Genomic DNA, 23,466 nt, shown 5'->3' on the forward strand with positions numbered 1-23,466 from the left:
GCCAACCCCTGTGCTTAAACTCCTTGTACCAAATTTTTTTCCTGCCATTCTCTCTTATACCCACTCTAATCAGGCTTTTACTCCCAGCACTCTACCAAAATGGCTCTTAACAAAGGTCACCTCTCTGACTTCACCTTTCAGTACCCTACCCCTTCCTCACTCCAATCTAACCACAACATTCTCCTTGCAGCTCCTGAAAAGATACAGGGTTGAAAGAAGCAAGCAATTTCAGCTGCTGCCCAACACAGGAGAAAAAGTTTGGAGCCCAGCTAAGTTAAGTACCCTTAATACCAAAAGTCAATATTCTTTCAGAGGAAGATAACAGAATTCAGTCTTTACACCATAGCTCCCAAAATGCACAGTGTATGAGTCAAACTTACTAGATCCGTAATGAAACGGGGAAATGTAACCACTAGTAAAGAGAAGAAACAGTCAACTGAAACCAAACCCACAGTAACCCAAATTTAGAATAATCAGAAGACTATTATAAACTTTTTAAAACATGTTTAAGGATTTAAGAGAAAATATGGTCATAATAAATGAACACACAGGTAATCTAAGCAGAGAATAAAACAAGGGAACAACATGGAAAATCCAGAACTAAAAAGTATAATATCTGAAATAAAAAATTCACTGGATGAACTTAACAGCAGACTGGTGATGGGTCAGTGAACCTGAAGACAAAGAGAAATTATCCAATCTGCAGGAAGAAAAAAAAAGAAAAAAGAAACTGCACCTCAGTGACCTCTTGGACAATATCAAGAAGTCTAATGTGAAACTGGAAGAAAAGGAGAATGGGACAGGAAAAAAGTGATGAAAGAAAAATATATCAAGCCAAGATTCTATATCCAGTGAAAATATACTTCAAAAGAAGGACAGAATAAAGATATTTGCAGAATAATGGAAACAATATTCATCACTAGCAGACCTGTGCTAAGAGAAATGCTACAGAAAGTTCTTCAGGCTCAAGGGATGTAACGTGGAAATCTGAATCTAAAGTAGTAAATGTCAAGAAGGGGCAGTTTTGTCCCACAGGGGACATCAGGAAATGTCTGGAGGCATTTTTGTTTGTCACAAATGGAGGTTGCTACTGGCACCTGAATGCTACTGGATAAACATCCTGTTAAACATCCGACCAAGCACAGGACAGCCTCCCATAACAACAACAAAAAAATCAACCTACCCTAAAATGTCAATAGTGCCAATGTTGGTAAATCTTCATCTATGGGTAGGAAAGAACAACAAAAATATATGAGCAAATTGAAACCAACCCAATAGTCCCACAGACTATTCTTTTGGATAAACAGTGAAATTGATCTTTCTGGTCTTAAAGCTTGAAGCTTACATTTGTTTTATCTCAGTTCCTTCCTCAGGAAGGGACCTTCATGGCTCTCAAAAAAATGTGTCAAAGAACTGAAACTCACCAGATCACCACATCCAGACAATGAGACTAGACTCTGGACCTCTCATTCATCATGATTGCTTCCTTGACCCTCCCTAGTTCCTATTTTCTTACACATTGTTACATTTTTTTCCTTGCTATATAAACCCCGAGTTTTAGCCAGTCAGGGAGATGGATTTGAGACTGAGCTCCGATCTCCTCAGCTGCAGCACCCGATTAAAGCCTTCTTCCTTGGCAATACTTGTCTCAGTAATTGGCTTTCTGTGTGGCGAGCAGCAGGACCTAGACCAAACCCCTAGTGATTCCGTAACAGATTTTGGTTAGTTGACAGGGAACATGTTGCTTGTGACTCAGCTGATGTGGGCAGGGAGTCTCAGAAGCCATCCTAAGCAGCTGCCCACCCAGTTTTGGCTGAAGGTGAGTGTCAGTCTCTCTCTGGCCCCACCACAGCCGGCCCCAACCACATTCCTGATTGCCTCATTAGAACTGCCTTTGAAACTTGACATTGCATCGATATAGGTAAGTGTCCCTTATGGGCCTAGACATAAGGATTTGCTCCTCTCATTTTGGGAAATCTTTAAAGAATTTTCATTTGTAGATTGAACAAGCCCAAATGACTGAGAGAGGGAAGCACCCTAACTGTTTCAGTAAGAACATTCTTGGAGGTTTTTCTGTAATTGCGTGTTGTGTCCGGGCAAGTGAGCGTCCTTTGTGGGTACCGGACAGTTGGATCAGCTCCTCTCAATTTGGGAAATTCCTAAGGAATTTTTGTTTGCAGTTGACCAAGCCCAACTAATGGAGAGAGGAAGCACCTCAAGTGTGTCAGTTTGGACACTTTTGGGGCTTGTTTGTTGCTGTAGCAGCTGGATTGTGTTTGGGTGATTGTGTTTCATATAGTCATGAGAAATTAGAATTTGGTAAAATGATACACTTTTGCAATACTGTTTGGTCCCAGTGTTGTTTGGAATCTGGGGTTTGCTGCTGAATGAAAAAGTGGGATGGAGTTGTGTGTTACCCAGACTTTTGTGCTGCTACGCTAAGCAGGGTTGAGCCTGGTTAGTATGTGATGTTCTCCTTTGCTGATGTTTGGCCCCAGTGTTCTTTGGAGTCTGGGGAGGTTTGGCCTTTAGAAAATCAAACTGCCCTGAAAACTGCTTTACCCAAAGTTTTGGTTCACAGCTTTCAGTGAATTACCTATTGGAGTAAACAAAGTGTAACCATGTAAAATCAGTGAGTTTGTATTGCTATCTCATGGCTAGAGTTCCAAGGTAAACACTACTGGATTTTCATTTGTGTGTGTGTATACATACATGTCTAGATGTGTTTATTTGTATGAACACTTATTGTTATATGTTGTGTCTACCAAATTGGCTTATAAGTAAAAGAGCACTCATAAATTAAGTCCAAGCAATTTTTAAGTTCATGTGAGTTAAGTAAATCTTTACTAAACAAGCTAGCTTTAAAATAGTTAGTAAAATGAAAATAGCAACGTCCTCAGAATTGTCAGCATACATTTTTGCCTGGATTTTATATTTGTCTCTGGTAGGTATTTTGAGGTGTCAGGGTTTGGCATAGAAGGTTATAAAACTATAAACCCAGCCAAAACAAAATGATCTTTGTGCAAATTTTTTGAAAAGAGTAATTAAGTTATTGGTTTAATGAAAATAGTTATTGGTGAAAATGCCTATGTAGTTAACTTTAAAGTTCTTATTTCAGTGAATGACTGATATTCATAGATTATAAAATGGTTAATAAGGAAATAACTTTAAATGATGGCATCTAATATATGTTTTCAGAAGTAATCTAGATAAACTGTTTAAAATGAAAGAACTGAATACTTGTAATTGGGATAAATGTTTTAGGTAAACTTCTTGTGTAATTTAAAATTTTGAAATTATTTTTGATGCTCATTGGATATCTGGGTCATTTCCAGTTAAGAAAGGGTTGTGATATAGGGAAATACGTTTCTAAAAATTGTGGAACTGTTCTCATCTATAAAATGCTAATATAGTTCAGGACTGCTTTCTAGGGTTTCACTAACATTTAAGGTTACTAAGGATAAGATATAATTCTGTTTAAAAAATGTGCCCCAAAAAATGTTATGAGAAAAATAATAATTTTGTTTAATTCAGAAGTTATCTAAAAGTTAATTCAAATTATGGGCTTGAAAAAGTTTTTTATGAAACAAGGTAGTAAGGAAACAAGTGGGGGAGAAAGGTATGAAAAAAATTATGTATATGATGATCATGTATTTTTGGTAAGGAAGGTTATAAAGATAATAATTTTGTATGTGAAAAGATCTTGCTGTCCTGGAGTAAAATGATGTTATTTAAACAAATAAGAAAGAAGAAGGGAGAGGGAGAAGGAGGAGGGAGAAGGAGGAGGAGGGGGAGGAGGAGAGGTGGAGGAGGAGGGGCGGAGGAGGAGGGGGGAAGGGGAGCGGGGGGAGGAGGAGGAGGAGGAGGAGGAGGAGGAAAATCTGGGACTGATCGGAAAGCCCAGGAGAAGGAGGAGGAGGAAGAGGAAAAAAATCTGGTACTGATTGGAAAGCCCAGGCATGTCATGGATGGTCTGTGTAAGTCATATGTAGCTTTTCTGGTTTTCCAGTGTATAGTCTATCTTCATGCACAAAAAGAGAAAACAGAACACAGAAGAGTTTAGACAATAGATTCTTTAAAACCTGAGAATGAGAGAAATTTGGCTAATTAACATTTCATAGTTAAAGCTCTTAGTCTTGATGAAGGTAAAATAAGAAATACTGTAAAGAAATGCATCAGCAATTTAGCAATTCTTAATAGTTAAGCATGAAGCCAGATCTAGTGTGGACCCATATTTCACATACATGCTTACATTGCTTCACACTATGTTAGCTGTTTTGCATGGATACTGCTGGAGTATTTACTGATCATGGGCCTAGAGTGAATTTCTTGATTGCACAAGATGTATGGTGATATTGGTGGACTTAAGGTTATTGAATTGTGTACCAGGAATAAAATATTCATCATGTGGTTTTTTTGGGAGGTTCTGGGTAACACTGTAGCCTCCAGGGTAGACTGAGTAGGGGAAAGATTGAGGGCTGGGTTTCCTGTTTGTTTTTTGCTTCTAATTTTCATTTGTTTGCTGTTGTTCTCCTGTGGGTTTTGCTTGTGTATACATATATATAAAACCGTAAACTTTTTAAGTTTCTAATGGAAAGCTTTTGTTTGGTTCTACAATTTGCCCTATTTATCTAAAGTTCCTAAGCTACTGTGGTCAAGCCTTTAAAAATTGATAGAGGACACCAGCCATTTAAAATTTGGTGGATTTTGCTTACCTCTGATGATCTAAAGAACTACAAGAGCTTTAAGATTTCTGGCACACACACAAAAATAATAATAAAAGACAAGTTCTGAACAGTACATTATATATTCTGTTATTTGGAAAAAGTAGGGGAGAATAAAAATGTTTAAATGTTTATATCCAAGATAATTCAATTCAATCAATAATTTAATGAAGAAAAACTGTGATGTGGGTACAAAGTTTTAATGTTCAGAAAAGACGGGCCCTGTCATTAAGGAAATTATATTGATTAGGATTTCTCTTCAAACTAATTTAGTTGTGTGGACCATTATTAAAATTAAGTGACATTCATTTGAATTAAGTAGTTAAAAAAAAAAAAGAGAGACTTTCTAGTGACTTTTGATCCCAAGAAGTTTATCAATGATGGGCTTTCATCTGTACTTGTAAACAGAATATGTGCAGGTGTCGCACTGGTTTGAAGATGAACACTCATAATGAACTGCTTTTATGAGACACAGGGCCAGAAGTTAAAACGATTCAATCCCTCTAGGCCCAGGGATCACTGCGGAAGAGGTAGCCATGTAAGACTGTAAAGGCCGATTTTGAGGGATAAGATCAGAGTTTTTCTATAAATTAAACATTAATACCAAAAGCACACTGATGCAAGGCCAGCATCTGGGTCTATGTGTTAGAAGAACATGGTTTTCTTGGAGCACTGATATGCTCTTTAAAAAGAAAATTGGGGCCAGTTATTAAAAGTTTATGGAAATCTTACCTTATGGTCAAACTGATTAAAATTAGATAGATTTGTTTATATAGTTTTATTAACTTTAATAATATATAAAGGAAAATTTTGGTTTTTGCTTTTGAACAAAATGTTTGTGTAATATTAAGAGATAAAAGATTTTGTTTGCCTTCTGAGTAAGTTGCAAAGAGAAAATGGAGTGGGGGGGGCCAGACAGGTTTAGTTGGCATGCTATCTTTATTACATCTTATTGCTTAGGAAAATTAGTCTCCTCTCTATGAAAAAGTAAATGTTTTTGTATAATTTTGGCTAAATGAATGACATTTTACAGTGACTTTGTGATTCTATTTTGTGATAACAAGTGTCTTAAAACTTTGATATTTGGCAAACTTTCTATAAGCAAAATTTCAAGATCGAAATTCAGTCTTTTTGACCTCAAACTATTTTTTTTGGATATTAGGTTCCCTGACATCCAAGAGAGATATATCAGGCTTATTAGGCTTGTTATGTTAGAATTATACAGGAAGCATTATCAAATGTGAGGTAGTATTTAACTGTCTTTGGGTTATATTTATTTAGATATGTTGTTAATATGCATTCCAGGATTCTACGACATTCCTGAAATTCTGATGTGTCTTAATATATGTTGTCAGTAGTAATTATGATTATGTTAAATTGTTGTATGCCACACAAGTAACCAAATATCCTTATCAACTGTGTCTTTATGACTGTCTTATGACTTTCAACATCCACAATTGATATATTGCTTTTAATCTCCTCAAAAAGTGACTTATAATCACCTATGGTCCAGGGCTTGCTTCTTTGGAGGAGTTCATGAAAAGGATTCTTTAATGCAGGTTTCTAAAAACTTTGCAGTTTGTGCCCCTGGATTAGAGAGACCTTTCAGGACTCTAATTAAAGAGCTGATGTGTTTATAAAGATTGCTAACCCAATATGAAGCAGAGCAGGAGTTCATTGCATGGACTGAAATAATGAAGACTGAAATAATTTTTATGGCTTTTTTTGTTTGAAATATTGATGATTCTTTTGTTTGTTTTTTGTTTTTCAGAGTCTGGAGAATATGTTCCTTTTGAGCTATATATAGCCTTGATATATACTTTAAGTGTATTGAGTAGAGGATACTTTAATAAGTAGAATTTGAGGCATATTTCTCTCTCTGCCTAATTTCTCCAGAATTTGGAAACTGTGAATATTCTTAATTCATGGAAAATGTGTTTATTTGCATATATTTAATAAAAACCTGTTTTCTTTTGTAATGGGACACAGCCAGAGGAACTGGCTATTTTCCTAGGACTTTGACTCAAATGACCTTGTGAAATGTTCCAGCAAAGCCAATTTGGAAGAATCTATGGGCAATGATTCTTGTCGCACTGTGTGTGGGTAATCAGGCCAAGTATATGGGACTGAAGATTATTTTGCAGGTAGATTGGTAGAAGCTTATTTTGCAGGTAGATCCTGCTGTGATTTGTCTTTGGTGGAAGTGGTACACCAGAGAGAGAAATATTATGTGTCAGAAGAAACTCTCTATTAGATGAAACTTTGATTCCTGGGTGGCTACATGGTCACCTATGGTATGGAGCTGCCTATGACACCCTTCCTCAGCATGAAGCAGCCAGAAAGACCAATGACTGGATTCCTCATGATTGAGGAACTGATAAATAGAAAGGGAAGACTGAAACTGACCCAACAGTCCCATAGACTGTTCTTTTGGATAAACACAGAAATTGACCTTTCTGGTCTTAAAGCTTAAAACTTAGGAGTTTTTCCTCAGGAAGGGACCTTGGGACCTCTCAAAAAAATGTATCGAAGAACTGCAACTCACCAGATCACCACATCCAGACAATGAGACTCTTACCACGTATTCATCATGACTGCTTCCTTGCCCCTCCCTAGTTCTTGTTTTCTTACACATTGTTACGTTTCTTCCCTGCCATATAAACCCCTGGTTTTAGTCAGTCAGGGAGATAGATTTGAGACTGAGATCCTATCTCCTCAGCTGCAGCACCCAATTAAACCCTTCTTCTTTGGCAATACTTCTCAGTGATTGGCTGTCTGCGCAGCAGGACCTTGACCAAACCCCTGGTGTTTTGGTAACGAAAGGAATAACTATATTGAAGCTAATAAAAACCATTTATGTAAATGTTGAATAAGAAAATTATAAACATAGAAAGTGGTAAAGCTAGAATGAACCTTGAAGAACTCAAGTGGAATTAGAGTTATCAGTATAAATTTGGAGATTTTTAAAAACACAGATAGAAGGCCAGGTGCAGTGGCTCACGCCTGTAATCCCAGCACTTTGGGAGGCTGAAGCAGGCGGATCACCTGAGGTCAAGAGTTTGAGACCAGCCTGGCTAACATGGAGAAACACCATCTCTACTAAAAATACAAAAAAGTAGCCAGGCATGGTGGCACGTGCCTGTAATCCCAGCTACTCGGGGGGCCGAGACAGGAGAATCGCCTGAACCCGGGAGGCGGAGGTTGCAGTGAGCTGAGATCACGCCACTGCACTCCAGCCTAGGCAACAGAACGAGACTCTGTCCCAAAACAAACAAACAAAAAAAAAAACAGACATAAATATAGGTGTGTTTTTATGTACGTGTACAAACATATACATACACATACACACACACATACTTCTTGGTTCTGTTTGTTGAAAAGGCCTGGAAGCAATGACACAAGATTAGCAATATGCATTAAGTAGTATGTCTATCTTGGTACCTATTAATAAATATTGTTTTCCACAAAAAGAAGCCAGGGTCCTTTGGAGAAAAGGTGGATTGCCGAACTGTGACAAGGAAAACTGAAGATAATCCTGGAATATCTTGTTGCACAAAATGTAAAAGGCTTGCTCAAATAAAAATATGGGCATATCAAAAGGACAAAGGGAGGACTTACAGTCACACAAACCTTGCAAATGTTTGTAGCAGCTTGTTGGTAATAGAAAACTACCGGAAATAACCCAAATACCCTTCAAAGTGTAAACGGTTGAATGAAATCAGGTACTTCTATACAGTGGAATGCTACTCAGCAATGAAAAAGAAAAAGATGCAACAACCTGGATAGACCTCAAAGGCATTATGTATAGTAAAAAGGTCAACCTTAAAAGGTTATATATTATATGATTGCATTTATATAACATTCTCAAAATAAAAAAAAAACTATAGAGGATGAAGAATAGACTAGTGATTTTCAGGGCACAGGGACAGGGTAGGAAAGAATTGGTAGACAATGTGAATGCAAAGAGGTCTCCTGTGTTGATGGAACAGTCTGTATCTTGATTGTGGTAGTGGCTACTCAAATCTATGTATGGAATAAATTAAATAAAATTATACATATACACACAAATAACTGCAGGTTTAAAATGTTAAAAAAAATGTTGAAAACTAAGTAAAATATTTAGTCTAGCTAACAATAATGAACCAATGTCAACTAACTGTTTGGGTATATACAGCTAAATAAGATGTCATCATTGGGCCAGGCGTGGTGGCTCAAGCCTGTAATCCCAGCACTTTGGGAGGCCAAGGCGGGCGGATCACAAGGCCAGGAGATCGAGACCATCCTGGCTAACACGGTGAAACCCCGTCTCTACTAAAAATACAAAAAATTAGCCGGGCGTGGTGGCGGGCACCTGTAGTCCCAGCTGCTTGGGAGGCTGAGGCAGGAGAACGGCATGAACCTGGGAGGCGGAGCTTGCAGTGAGCTGAGATCGTGCCACTGCACTCCAGCCTGGGTGACAGAGCAAGACCCCGTCTCAAAAAAAAAATGTCATCACTGGGTGAAGGGCATGCAAGACTATTAATTTAACAACCTCCTGAAAGTCTGTATTTGTTTCAATATTGTAAGTTAAATTATAATTTTATTTATAATTTTTCATTTATTTAAAAAAAAAAAAAAAAGAGGCCACAGGAGCAAGCCTGAAAGTGGCCTCTGCTGGCCAAATCTGGGACAGTCTGCGTAACAAAATAAGGATTAAAATGGATAACTCATTGATTAAAGAATGGATGAGCCCATCCTGATACAAACGAATGGGGCAGAAGAGAAAGCTCTTCCGTATAATACAAAGCCAACTAGTAAATATAGAGGGAATGATGTAGTTAGAAAATCATCAGCAGATGCCAAAACTAATGGGTAAAAGTTTGACAAGGAATATAATATTTTCCCACAAATTTCATAGTAATTACAACGGGAAAAACTAATGACTCTATAATGAAAAAAGCTTCTGGAAACGATCTTAAACAAGTGAGCCAAGTTAACATTATCAATACTGGAACAAACCAACATAATGTACCTCCTGACATTGTGCACTATGAAGGAAAAAAAAACCATGAGGGAACATCAAACAGAGAAACACAAACTGAAGGGCATTCTATGAAATAAATGACCCCTTCTTTAAAAAAAAAAAAACAAACAAACAAAAAAAAAAAACAAAGAAAAACAGGAACAACAAAAAATAAGGTCAAGAAATAAATCAAACTTCCAGATCTGTTCCAGGTCAAATGGATGTGACAACTCAATTCAATGTGTGATCCTGGTGGTCCTGGGGAAAAATAGTATAAAGGACATCAGTAGGACAGCTGGCTACATTTGAATATGTATTATGAATTAGATAATATTTTCTCAGTATTAAATTTCTTGGTTTTAATAAATGTAGTCAGGTTATATAAGAGAACGTTCTTGGCTTGCGCCTGTAATCCCAGGACTTTCGGAGGCCGAGGCAGGCAGATCACGAAGTCAGGAGATCAAGACCATCCTGGCTAACATGGTGAAACCCCATCTCTACTAAAAATACAAACAATTAGCCGTATGCGGTGGTGAGCACCTGTAGTCCCAGCTACTCGGCAAGCTGAGGCAGAAGAATGGTGAGAACCCGGGAGGTGGAGCTTGCAGTCAGCCGAGATTGCACCACTGCACTCCAGCCTGGGCGACAGAGCAAGACTCTGTCTCAAAAAAGAAAAGAATATTCTTGTTTTTAGACACTAGAAGAACAATGTCTCCAACTTACTCTTAATGGTTCCAAATATATTTGTATTTTTATACACACAAATGCATGTGTACACAGACAGAAAGAGAGCAGAAAGAGAATAAAACACAGGGTGAAATGTAAACAACCGGCAATGTTGACTAAAGTGTATTTAGGAGTTCCTTATAGTATTTATTTCTGTATCAAAATTTAAAAGTAAGGGGAAAAAAGCACACATGGTACCATATTCATAGTAAGGAATGATTTAGTTCAGCAAAACATCACCCATTAAATTAAATTAATGCTGTTGAATAGGAAAAAAATTGGCAATTCTTATCCTTTTACTTTCCATATAAATTGCATAAGGATCCACTCTTGGATGGTTCTTGGACAGTTTTTAGTTAATCCTTAGATAATTACATTTAAGTTAGATAGGCTGGTGCAAAAGTAATTGCCGTTTTTAAAAAAAAAAAAAAAAGGCAAAAACTGCAATTACTTTTGCACCAACCTAAATATTAAGAAACTGACCCCTTTGATAATGAGTATTCCTCACAATTCCTACATTCCTTGCAGTTGTTCAGTTTGAAATATTTTCTCATTTCCATTATTATTTCTTCATTAATTCAGAAATTATTTTCAAGTATTTTCTTTAAATAAAAAAAAAAAAATAGGCTGGGTGTGATGGCTCACACCTTTAATCCCAGCACTTCAGGAGCTGAGGTAAGAGGATGGCTTGAGTACATGCGTTGGATGAGCCTAGGCAACATATTGAGGGCCCGTCTCTACAAAAAATTTTAAAAAGAATTAGCCAGGCATGGTGGTGGCATGGGCCTGTAGTCCCAGCTACTCAAGAGGCTGAAGAGGGAGGATCGCTTGAGCCCAGAAGTTTAAGGCTGCAGTGAGCTGTGATTGTGTCAGCGTACTCCAGCCTGGGCAACAAAGCAAGACCGTGTCTCAAAAAATTTAAAAATATAATATTTTATATTAATTTCCAATGTTATTGCTTTGTGTTTACAGATCATTATCTGTGTTATAAATTCTTGGATATCTGCTGAAACTTTTTAATTTGTGACTCAGTATTAAGGTTTTTTAAATCAGTATTTGGATTAAAAAAGTGTTTTTCTAAATGTTGGGTAGCCCATTAAATTTTTAAAAAGTTGGGGGAAGAGGGGCATAAGGAACATCTAGTGAAGGCAATTTAATCTAATTTTAGTTTTACTAGAAAGCTTAAAAAAAGAAAATAAAGTTCTCACTGCAGAACCTTTACTTTAGCATTACTAAAAGTAGAATAAGATACTCTAAAAAACTAAAAGTAAAGCTAAAGTAAAATATTAATTGATTAAAGACTTAAAAGTAAAAATGAAACAATTTAAAAAATAGAACATCTCTAACTAAACTGACCCAAAAGAAAAAAACAGAACACATTGAGGATGAATATTTACTGATCTTAAGATGGAGAATAAAAAAATCTCTCAGCATAAAAGTAATGGAACTCGGCTGGGCGCAGTGACTCACGCCTGTAATCCCAGCACTTTGGGAGGCAGGGGCAGGCAGATTACCTAAGGTCAGGAGGTCAAGACCAGCGTGGCCAACATGGTGAAACCTCATCTCTACTAAAAACACAAAAAAAATTATCCAGGCGCGGTGGTGCATGCCTGTAGTCCAAGCTACTTGGGAGGCTGAGGCAGAAGAATTACTTGAACCCAAGAGGTGGAGATGGCAGTGAACCCAGATCACGCCATTGCACTCCAGTGTGGGCGACAAAGCAAAGCAAGACTCAGTCTCAAAAAAAAAAAAAAAAAAGTAATGAGATTTGAGTACATGCAAAAACAAAAATATTTCCCCAAAAATCAAATAACATTAAACAATAAAGGACAATCTCAGAAAAAGATTCACACCAAATGTCAGAAAAAAGATTGACATCCCTAATATATAAAGACCCCATATACATAAAGAGTTCCCCAGGATATGTTATTAAGTGAATAAAGAAAGATGCAAAATGTATATAGTATGCAATCTATATATCCAGATAGCTAATTCCATAAAATTACAGCTCAATCACCACCACACTGCATACACTAACCCAGCACTGCCCAATAAAACCTTCTGCAATGATGGGAATGTTCTGTGTGTGTGCTCTTTTAATATGGTAACCACATTTGGCTATTGAGTATTTGAACCATGACTAGTGCAACTGAGTAAATGAATTTTTAAATCTTATGTAACTTTAATTAATTTTAATAACTACGTGTGGCTGATAGTCACTGTATTGGACAGTACAGTTCCGACCCCTCTGTGCACGTCTCTATAAGGTGTTTGTTTTATTTTTTGTTTGTTTGTTTAATGGGTCTAATAGTGTTTTGTTTTAATGGGTTTAATATTTGTTCATATTCATTCTATCTGATTTTTTTTTAAAAAGCTTCTACATAGGTAGAAGTTTAACTACTTTAACTTCTATGATTTAACTTCCTTAGGGAAGCATATTAGAGAAATAAATGCATAATCATGTTAGACAAAAGAAGATACTTTACCAGCTCCATCTGAATCTTCCACCATTGGATTTATTTCTATCATGGTTGCATCGTATTTCAGAAAAAGGCTGTAAAGCTTGACCATGTTTTCTGCTGCTGATTCCACAATATTAGGTGGAAATCCCATCTTCTGTGCAAGCTGAAATCAATATGTCTTTTTATTATAGGTAGTTTGCATATGTCTAATCAACATTACTATAAATAAAAAGCCTTGTAGTTTATCACTTAAATGATAAACATGAGTCATTTATAGTCAAACATTACTGAAATAGCAGCTACCATTACTAAATGGTTAAACAAAACTTTTTATTCAAAATCTTCAAAAGATAGATATTATGCCCATTTTATAGATAAGAAAGAGATTCAGAGAGATCAAGTAACTTGCCATTCATTGGCCTAGATTCCAGTTCCATAGTGTCCATACTGCCTAAGCTTTACTGCCAACCTAAGCTGAAAGAAGAGGTTTATATTTTATTAAAACTATATATAAAATGTGAGCCGGGCACAGTGGCTCACACCTGTAATGCCTGCAATTTGAAAGACTGAGGGGCCAGATCACTTGAGGCCAGGAGTTACGGACCAGCCTGGCCACCACAGTGAAACCCCATCTCTACTAAAAATATAAAATGTGGACTGACAACCCTTATGGTCCAAAGAAAAGCCAAAATATTAGAAGACCCTATTTTACCTTTTGTATAATTTATAAAGAGTGTCTACCAAGCAATAAGAATACATGTCATACAGTCAAATGAGTGTTATCCCATTTATTCAAAAATCTACCAAGCACCTATTACATTCCAGGCACTGTGCTAGGCCCAAAAGATAAAGATGTTTAACTTTATAATAAAAGAGTTTACAGTCTTGAGGGATTCCCAAATAGAGATACCCACAGAGCTTTTAAACAATACAATATCAAGGTCCCAACTCAGAAGTTCTGGTTGACAAGTTTTTTACTGGATCAAGCATCTATCATGTTTCAAGTTCCATGAGCAATTCTGAACCACTGGTACAGAGGATACATGTCTATGTGTTTATTCTAACAGTGCTGCCACTGCTCAGGAACCCTATAGAGAATTCTTTCCTCTTTTTCAGTTGCTATCTAAGGTTGTAACACATTCTTTTGATTTTCAATAACAAAAAATCTTAAATTCTTTGAAGATGAAGAAGATATTTGCAAAGAGTCAAATGCCAATAAGTAAAGTGAATGATCAAGCTAAACAATGTAGGCTGGGCGCAGTGGCTCAAGTCTGTAATACCAGCACTTTGGGAGGACAAAGAGGGCGGATCACTTGAAGCCAGGAGTTTGAGACCAGCCTGGGCAACATGGTGAAACACTGTCTCTATCAAAAATACAAAAATTAGCCAGGTGTGGTGACGCATGCCTGTAATCCCAGCTACTCGAGAGGCTGAGACACAAAAACTGCTTGAACTCAGGAGGTGGAGGTTGCAGTGAGCCGAGATCACACCACTGCACTCCTGCCTGGGCGACAGAGTGAGACTCTGTCTCCCCCCCACAAAAAAAAAAAAAGCACTAAGGAATGTAATCTTTTGTTTTGACCTATTTCAAATAAAGAATAATATGAAAGTACCATTTTATTATGAAAGTTTTTCACTATGTCACAACTCACCTAAAAAAACAAAAACTAAAACCAAATGTTTAGGCTTAAACATTTGAAAACTACAAAGTAATTCTGATCAATCCATTATGACATCAATTTTCTAATGCTAGGCTCTATTTCCACTCATCACCATCATGCAAAATGCTATAATCTTAGATTATTCCTCCATGTATTCTTGTAAATCAAGTATTTTCTTCCTCATCTAAATTTCACTCTCCAGTCATCATCTTCACGTAACTACCTAATAAATCAAATCCATGCCTTTTAAACATTTATATCATTCATTTGCCAAAATCAATTTGCTTTATTCTCCATCAGAAACATTTATCTCCTTAAAACTTTGTGCCGGTCAAAATTCTTGCACTTGGCTGGGCACGGTGACTCACGCCTGTAATCCCAGCACTTTGGAAGGCCGAGGTGGGCAGATCATGAAGTTAGGAGTTTGAGACCAGCCTGGCCAACATGGTGAAACCCCATCTCTACTAAAAATACAAAAATTAGCTGGTCATGGTGGCGGGCGCCTGTAATCCCAGCTACCTGGGAAGCTGAGGCAGGGGAATCGCTTGAACCCGGGAGGCAGAGGTTTCAGTGAGCCAAGATCATGCCACTGCACTCCAGTCTGGGCAACAGAGCAAGACTCCGTCTCAAAAAAAAAATAATTCTTGCACTTGCTGTACTTCAATACCACAAACTTATTCTGACATAGTTTTCTCATTAAGAAATGTTTAAGGAGAATGGTGTGAACCCGGGAGGCAGAGCTTGCAGTGAGTCAGGATCGCGCCACTGCACTCCAGCCTGGGCGACAGAGCGAGACTCCGTCTCAAAAAAAAACTAAAAATAAAAATCAATAATAAAAAAAAAGAAATGTTTAACTTCGAAGTCCAATATTCAAATTCTTCTTTTAAGGTGAGTCATTAGGCCAGGCGCGGCGGCTCACACCTGTAATCCCAGCACTTTGGGAGGCCCAGGCAGGCAGATCACTTGAGGTCAGGAGTTCTGGAGCAGCCTGCCAATATGGTGAAACCCTGTCTCTACTAAAAATACCAATGAAAAGTTAGCTGGGCATGGTGGTGCATGCCTGTAATCCTAGCTACTTGGGAGGCTGAGGTGGGAGGATTGCTTGAACCCAGGAGGCGGAGGTTGCAGTGAGCCAAGATTGCGCCACTGCACACTCCACCCTGGGCGACAGAGCAAGAATCTCCATCTCAAAAACAAACAAACGAAAAGATGAGTCACTTATTTTTATATCCAAAGCAAACAATTTAATTCGATAGCAGCATTACAAATATTACCAAGCAACTCTCACAGGCCTTAATATTAAACTCAATGGGGGCTTTTTTTTAGTGGGGGGAAGAATGGAGGGGAAGCAGCACACAAGGACAATAGAGAAAACCAGTAAAACTGTAGGCAAAATTTTATTGTGAACACATACAAATTGAAAGAATTGAAAGAAGGACCACAGCGTTCATCGAATTCTTAAAATCATTCATAAACCACAGCTCTATTATGGAGATATATAAGACAGTGTCCCATCCATTCTACACAATTTACAGAAAATAAAGGGGACACAGGAATATTTTAAATGTTTAACCACTTAAACCATGGAGATATAAAATCCAGACTACGAAAAACAATGAATAATAATCACCTCAGTTTCTTCAACAACTGAACTGAAAGAAAAAAGATGACAGCAAAAAAGAGAAACCTGTAAGTTATAAAAGACCTATGAGACTTATCAGTCAACAACAATGAAGGGACCGGACGCGGTGGCTCACGCCTGTAATCTTAGCACTTCAGGAGGCCGATGAGGGTGGATCACCTGATGTCAGGAGTTCAAGACCAGCATGGCCAACATAGCAAAACCCCATCTCTACTAAAACAAAATACAAAAATTAGCCGGGCATGGTGACGTGCGCCTGTAGTCCCAGCTAGTCGGTAGGCTGAGGCAGGAGAATAGCTTGAACTCAGAAGGCAGAGGTTGGAGTGAGCCAAGGTGGCAACACTGCACTCCAGCCTAGGTAACAGAGCAAGACTCCATCTCAAAGAAAATAAATAAAATAACAATGAAGAACCGTATTTGGATGCTGACTCAAACAAATTGTAAATGAAAAATTGATTTGAAACAACTAGAGAAATTTGAATGACTAAGTGATGATACTAACAAATTATTGTTGGCTGGGCGCGCTGGCTCACGCCTATAATCCCAGCACTTTGGGAGGCCGAGGCGGGTGGATCACCTGAGGTCAGGAGTTCGAGACCAACCTGATCAACAAGATGAAACTCCATCTCTACTAAAAACAAAAAAATTAGCCAGGTGTGTTGGCAGGTGCCTGTAGTCCCAGCTACTTGGGAGGCTCAAACAGGAGAATTGCTTGATCCTGGGAGGCGGAGGTTGTGATGAGCCAAGATGGCGCCACTACACTCCAGCCTGGGTGACGGAGCAAGACTCCGTCTTAAAAAAAAAAAAAAAAGAAAGAAAGAAAAGAAAAGAAATTATTGTTAATTTTACTAGATAGGGTAATGGTATAGTGACTCTTTTTTTTTTTTTTTTTTGAGATGAGTCTCACTCTGTTGCCCAGGCTGGAGTGCAGTGGCACAATCTCGGCTCACTGCAACCTCCGCCTCCTGGGTTCAAGCGATTCTTCTGCCTCAGCCTCCCGAGTAGCTGGGACTACAGGCACGCACCACCATGCCCGGCTAATTTTTTTTGTATTTTTAGTAGAGACGGGGGTTTCACCATATTGGCCAGGCTGGTCTCGAACTCCTGACCTCATGATCCGCCCACTTTGGCCTCCCAAAGTGCTGGGATTACAGGCGTGAGACACCGTGCCCGGCCAGTGACTCTTTTAAAAGAATCCACATTGAAATATTTATAGAGATATGAAAAAATTGTAAATAATTCCAAAATGAGCTATTTCAAACAAGTTATTAACTTTCCTGACACTCAAAATGTTTAAATAAGTTTTGACAATTACTTCAGTTGTACGGTTATCTTTAAGTATCATAATTCTCTAATCATAAGCTAGAAATTTTTCAGGAATACAACATACCTGGAGAGCTTGTTCCTTTTTGATGCCTTCTTCAATATCAATAGGTTCTTTAATTATTGCTTCAGGAGACTCAGCAGCAACATCTTCAATGTTGACACCACCATGTGAACTTCCTATTAATACAGGACCCTGGCAAGGGAAGTAAACAACCAAAACTCTAGATTTATTTTAGACTCATCAATGAAACTTTAAAACCTACCCGTGCATAATATCAGATGTAAGCATCTATTACTCTCTACCCACATTTTAAAATTTTCTTGAGAATTTATCCTCACATCTCCAGCACAGTGCCCTCTTATAAATATTCAATTAAAGCAATGGATAAAAAAGTAAAAAAAGAAGAAAATAATGGCTTGCCTGCAAGGAAAATAGATTTAAAATATACACAAAAACTTATACCACAATAGCAACAACTTGGAACCAACCCAAATGCCCATCAATGATACACTGGATAAAGAAAATGCGGCACATATACCATGGAATACTATGCAGCCATAAAAAAAGAATGTGTTCATGTCCTTTGCAGGGACATGGATGAAGCTGGAAACTATCATTCTCAACAAACTAACACAGGAACAGAAAACCAAACATCACATGTTCTCACTCGTAAGTGGGAACTGAACAATGAGAACACATGGACACAGGGAGGGGAACATCACATACCAGGGCCTGTCAGGGGGCTGGGGCAAGGGGAGGGATAGCATTAGGAGAAATACTTAATGTAGATGACAGGTTGATGGGTGCAGCAAACCACCATGGCACATGTACAACTATGTAACAAACCTGCACTTTCTGCACATGTATCCCAGAACTTAAAGTATAATTAAAAAAAAAAAGAAAAAAAACTTAACACCAAATATGTAAACATATGTATGTGAAATATAACCTATGCATTTTTCATAAAAACTGAGGGGACATTAAAAGTATTGCTTAAAGCATAAACACTAGAAAATCCTGAAAACAGATATTTGAAAGAAAAAGCCTAAGAAAAGGGAAAGTCTAAGCTCTAGCCCTACTGCAAGACAATAAAAAAGAAAGCTGGCCAGGCACAGTGGCTCACACCTGTAATCACAGCACTTCGGGACGCCAAGGCAGAAGGACTACTTGAGTTCAGGAGTCAAGACCAGCCTGGGCAACATAGTAAGACTCCATTTCTACAAAAAATACAAATAAATTAGCCAGGCATGGTGGCATGCCCCTTTAGTCCCAGCTACACAGCAGGCTGAAATGGGACGATGGCTTGAGACTGAGAGATCAAGGCTGCAGTCAGCTGTGATCACACCATGGCACTCCAGCATGGGGACAGAGAAAGACCCTGTCTCAAAAAAAAAGTAAAATACAATAAATAAAAGAGAGAGCTAACTAGTTTGAAAGAATAGCTCTGGCTATTGTCATGAACAATATGAGAAGGTAAGGTATCAATACTAACAATTATTAACATTTAAGGCCTTGAAAATCAATCAAGAAAAAATCATAAATTATCTAATAGATCTACTAATTTATGCATTAAACTAGAAATAATGTTAACATGAAAAAAAGAGAAATAGTAAAACTGCATTTAAAGATTGTTTACTGACAGGAAACTACTGATCTGTAGTGGGTAATGTAGTGTATGTGTACATGTAGTGTTACGTATGAAAAAAATGATACAAAGCCCTAGGTCGTTTTCTCAATTGTATTATTTTTTAACATAAAGTGCGTTTCAAGTGCTCCATATTGACAGAAACAATAAAAGAGTGGGAAATAAAACATTAAAAGACTTTTGTTATTTTAAATGCAACTATTTTCCAAATAAAATTTTTTTACAATGAACATACTACTCTTACATCCAGAAAAAAAAACAGGCATGACAACTTTTTTTTTTAATCAAAAGACTAATTCCACTTTTCTTTCTTTCTTTTCTTTTTTTTTTTTTTATCTGGAGTGTCGTTCTGTCACCCAGGCTGGAGTGAAATGATGCGATCTCAGCTCACTGCAACCTCCGCCCCCCAGGTTCAAGGGATTCTCCTCTCTCAGCCTCCCAAGTAGTTGGGATTACACGCATGCACCACCATGCCCAGCTAATTTTTGTATTTTTAGTAGAGACAGGGTTTTACCATCTTGGCCAAGCTGGTCTCGAACTCCTGACCTTAGGTGATTCACCTCCCAAAGTGCTGGGATTATAGGCATGACCCACCATGCCCAGCCTAATTCCACTTTTCTATCCTAGCACTTAGTGTTTTAGTAACATACTCATTTAAAGTATAAATTAAAGGAATAGGATTGCATTCATTACTGTTTAGAGAACGAAACAGTCCTTCAAATACTTAAAATAAGGCAATAACAAAAATTAAAAAGAAGAATCTATCACTTTTTTAAGAGTGTTAAACTTTTATTTAGGAAAAAAATGATTTTGTACCATGTATTCGATTTCTGTATACATTTGTAACAAGGAATTCGGATGACTTTTGTCCCCAGGGTCTTGGAAGTAACTTCTAAACCCTCCAACCACATCTGATAGTTGATGCGACCAAGGAGCCGCATGGTGGGCCCCTAGACAGTTTACACTAAGGAGATGACTCAGGTGGGCAATGGCCATGCCAGAAAGATTGACAATGTGATTAGAGGTTTGGGGCTTTCAGTCAAATTGTATCAACCCACTCTGCATAGAAGAAATGGGCTAAGTCAACTGCACAGACAATGATTCAATCAGTGATACCCAGGCTGGGTGTGGTGGCTCACATCTGTAATCCTAGCACTTTGGGAAGCCAACGCAGGAGGACTGCTTGAGTCTGGGAGTTCGAGACCAGCCTGGGCAACATAGTGAGAACCTGTCTCTACAAAAATTTAAAATTAAAAAAAAATTTTTGTTTAATGCCTACACCATAGAACCCCAATGAAAACTCTGGACACCAAGGTCAGCAAGATGACAAAATAGGAAGCCCAAGACCTTGCTCCCTGACAAAAACACTGACTTTAGCAACAATATATGATCCAAAAACCTTTTATGACAATGACAGTAACCAATTAGGAAGTCACAGTACCCCAGGTAAGCTCAAAGCCAAGAACATCTGCAATGAAATCAGTAAGAAAAGCCATTTCATTTTATCCACATCAGCATCCTTCCCCCCACCACTCCAAACTAACATAGTTTGGGATTAAGAAGCTTCTCCATTGGGAGAGAAAGAGAAGAGTAGAACACATGTTCAACATTCCAGCTTCTTGGAGGGCTGTCCAAGGGACTGTTTCCTGTCTCAACTGATATGGGTGCTGATGGGGAACCAGCATACTCTGGATGCCTGTGGGGCATCGAGAACAAAGGAGAGTACACAGGCTCATGGCAGTACCAGAAAATGTGTAACATCCCAGAGGGAAGTTGACACAGCTTGCTACAACTAAGAAAACACACCCAGCTCCTGATTTTTTAACAGGTTGAGTACTCCTCATCTGAAATGCTTAGGACCAGAAGATTTTGGATTTCTTTGAATTTTGAAATATTTGCATTATACTTACCATTGGAGAATCCCAAATCTAAAAATCTGAATTCCAAAATGCTCCAATGAGCATTTCCTTTAAGTGTCATGTCAGTGCTCCAAAAGCTTAGGATTTTATAGCATTTTGGATTTCAGAATTTCAGATTTGGGATGCTCAACCTATATTTATACCACAAGAAACTAGAAAAAGAATAACTAAACCCAAAGTTGGCAAAAGGAAGAAAATCATAAAGATTAGAGCAGAAATAAAAGAAACAAGGAACAGAAAAAAAAAAAATCAACAAAACTGCATATTGGCTCATTGAAAAAGTGAATAAAATTGACAACCCTTTAACTATAAAAAAATAGAAAAGACTGAAATAACAAAAATCAGAAGTGAAAGGAGACATTACAGCTGTCACAGAAAGAGTCTGAGACTGCTATGAAAAATTATGTATCAACAAATTGAATAACCTAGAAGACATTGATAACTTGCTAGAAACAATCTTCAAAATCATAAAGAAATAAAAAATATGAACAGCTCTATAACTAGTAATGATACTGAATCAGTAATCAAAAACTTCTAAGCAACAGGAAGCCCGGGACCAAATGGCTTCACTGGAAAATTCTATCAAACATTTAAAGAACTGAACCAATCTTTCCCAAGCTCTTTTCAAAAAATTGAAAAGGACGGAAAATTTCCATACTCACTCTATGAAGCCAGCATTACCATGATACCAAAATCAGAAGGTATTAAAAGAAAACTACAAGCTAATAGCTCTGAAAAAATAATGATGAAAAAAAAACTCAAAAAATACTAGCAAACTGAATTCAACAACACATTAAAGGGACTTTACATCATGATCAAGTGGGACTTAACTCCTAGAATACAAGGATGGTTCAACATACAAAAATTCAGTGTAATACATGCTATTAACAGAATGAAGGACAAAAACCACAATAATCTCAATTGATACATAAAAGGCATTTAACAAAATTGAATACCCTTTCACGATAAAAATACTCAACAAAGACTGAAGGAAACAACCTCAATATAATAAAGGCCATATAAGAAAACTCATAGCCAACATCATACACAATAATGAGAAACTGAAAATCAATGTGCAAAAATCATAAGCATTCCTATACACAAATAATAGACAAACAAGAGTCAAATCATGAGTGAACTCCCATTCACAATTGCTACAAAGAGGATAAAATACCTAGAAATACAACTTACAAGAGATGTGAAGAACCTCTTCAAAGAGAACTATAAACCACTGCTCAAGAAAATAAGAAAGAACACAAAGGGAAAAACATTCCATTCCATGCTCATAGATAGGAAGAATCAATATCATGAAAATGGCCATACTGCCCAAAATAATTTATAGATTCAATGGTATCCCATCAAGCTACCAATGACTTTCTTCACAGAATTAGAAAAAACTACTGTAAATTTCATATGGTACCAAAAAAGAGCCCATAAAGCCAAGACACTCCTAAGCAAACAGAACAAAGCTGGAGGCATCACGCTACCTGACTTCAAGCTATACTACAAGGCTACAGTAAACAAAACAGGATGGCACTGGTACCAAAACAGATATATAGACCAGTGGAACAGAACAGAGGCCTCAGAAATAACGCCACACATCTACAACCATCTGATCTTTGACAAACCTGACAAAAACAAGCAATAAGAAAGGATTCCCTATTTAATAAATGGTGTTGGGAAAACTGGCTAGCCATATGCAGAAAACTGAAACTGGATCCCTTCCTAACACTTTATACAAAAATTAACTCAAGATGGATTAAAGACTTAAATGTAAGACCTAAAACCATAAAAACCCTAGAAGAAAACCTAGGCAATACCATTCAGGACATAGGCATAGGCAAGGACTTCATGATGACGAAAACACCAAAAGCAATGGCAGCAAAAGACAAAATTGACAAATGAGATCTAATTAAACTAAAGAGCTTCTGGACAGCAAAAGAAACTATCAGCAGAGTGAACAGGCAACCTACAGAATGGGAGAAAATTTTTGCAATCTATACATCTGACAAAAGGCTAATATCCAGAATCTACAAGGAACTTAAACAAATTTACAAGAAAAAAACAACCCCATCAAAAAGTGGGAGAAGGATATGAACAGATACTTTTCAAAAGAAGACATTTATGCAGTCAAAAAACATACGAAAAAAAGCTTATCATCACTGGTCATTAGAGAAATGCAAATCAAAACCACAATGTGATAGCATCTCATGCCAGTTAGAATGGTGATCATTAAAAAGTCAGGAAACAACAGATGCTGGAGAGAATGTGGAGAAACAGGAACACTTTTACACTTTTGGTGGGAGTGTAAATTAGTTCCACCATTGTGGAGGACAGTGTGGTGATTCCTCAAGGATC

The 23,466-nt window shown here is 37.6% G+C and overlaps 1 protein-coding gene across 1 annotated transcript in view; it reads right to left on the minus strand.

Annotated features, from left to right (window-relative positions):
- SUCLA2 (succinate-CoA ligase ADP-forming subunit beta) overlaps positions 1–23,466 on the minus strand; it is a 58,618-nt gene that overhangs the window by 13,001 nt on the left and 22,151 nt on the right. Inside the window, exons 5-6 of the mRNA NM_003850.3 lie at positions 17,608–17,736; positions 12,939–13,077 (exon numbers count right to left, since the gene is read on the minus strand). Coding sequence (NP_003841.1) covers positions 12,939–13,077; positions 17,608–17,736 — 268 coding nt within the window. The remainder of the gene's footprint in view (positions 1–12,938; positions 13,078–17,607; positions 17,737–23,466) is intronic.

The sequence above is a fragment of the Homo sapiens genome, chromosome 13, assembly GCF_000001405.40.
Source record: "Homo sapiens chromosome 13, GRCh38.p14 Primary Assembly".
NCBI classification, from domain to species: Eukaryota; Metazoa; Chordata; class Mammalia; order Primates; family Hominidae; genus Homo; species Homo sapiens.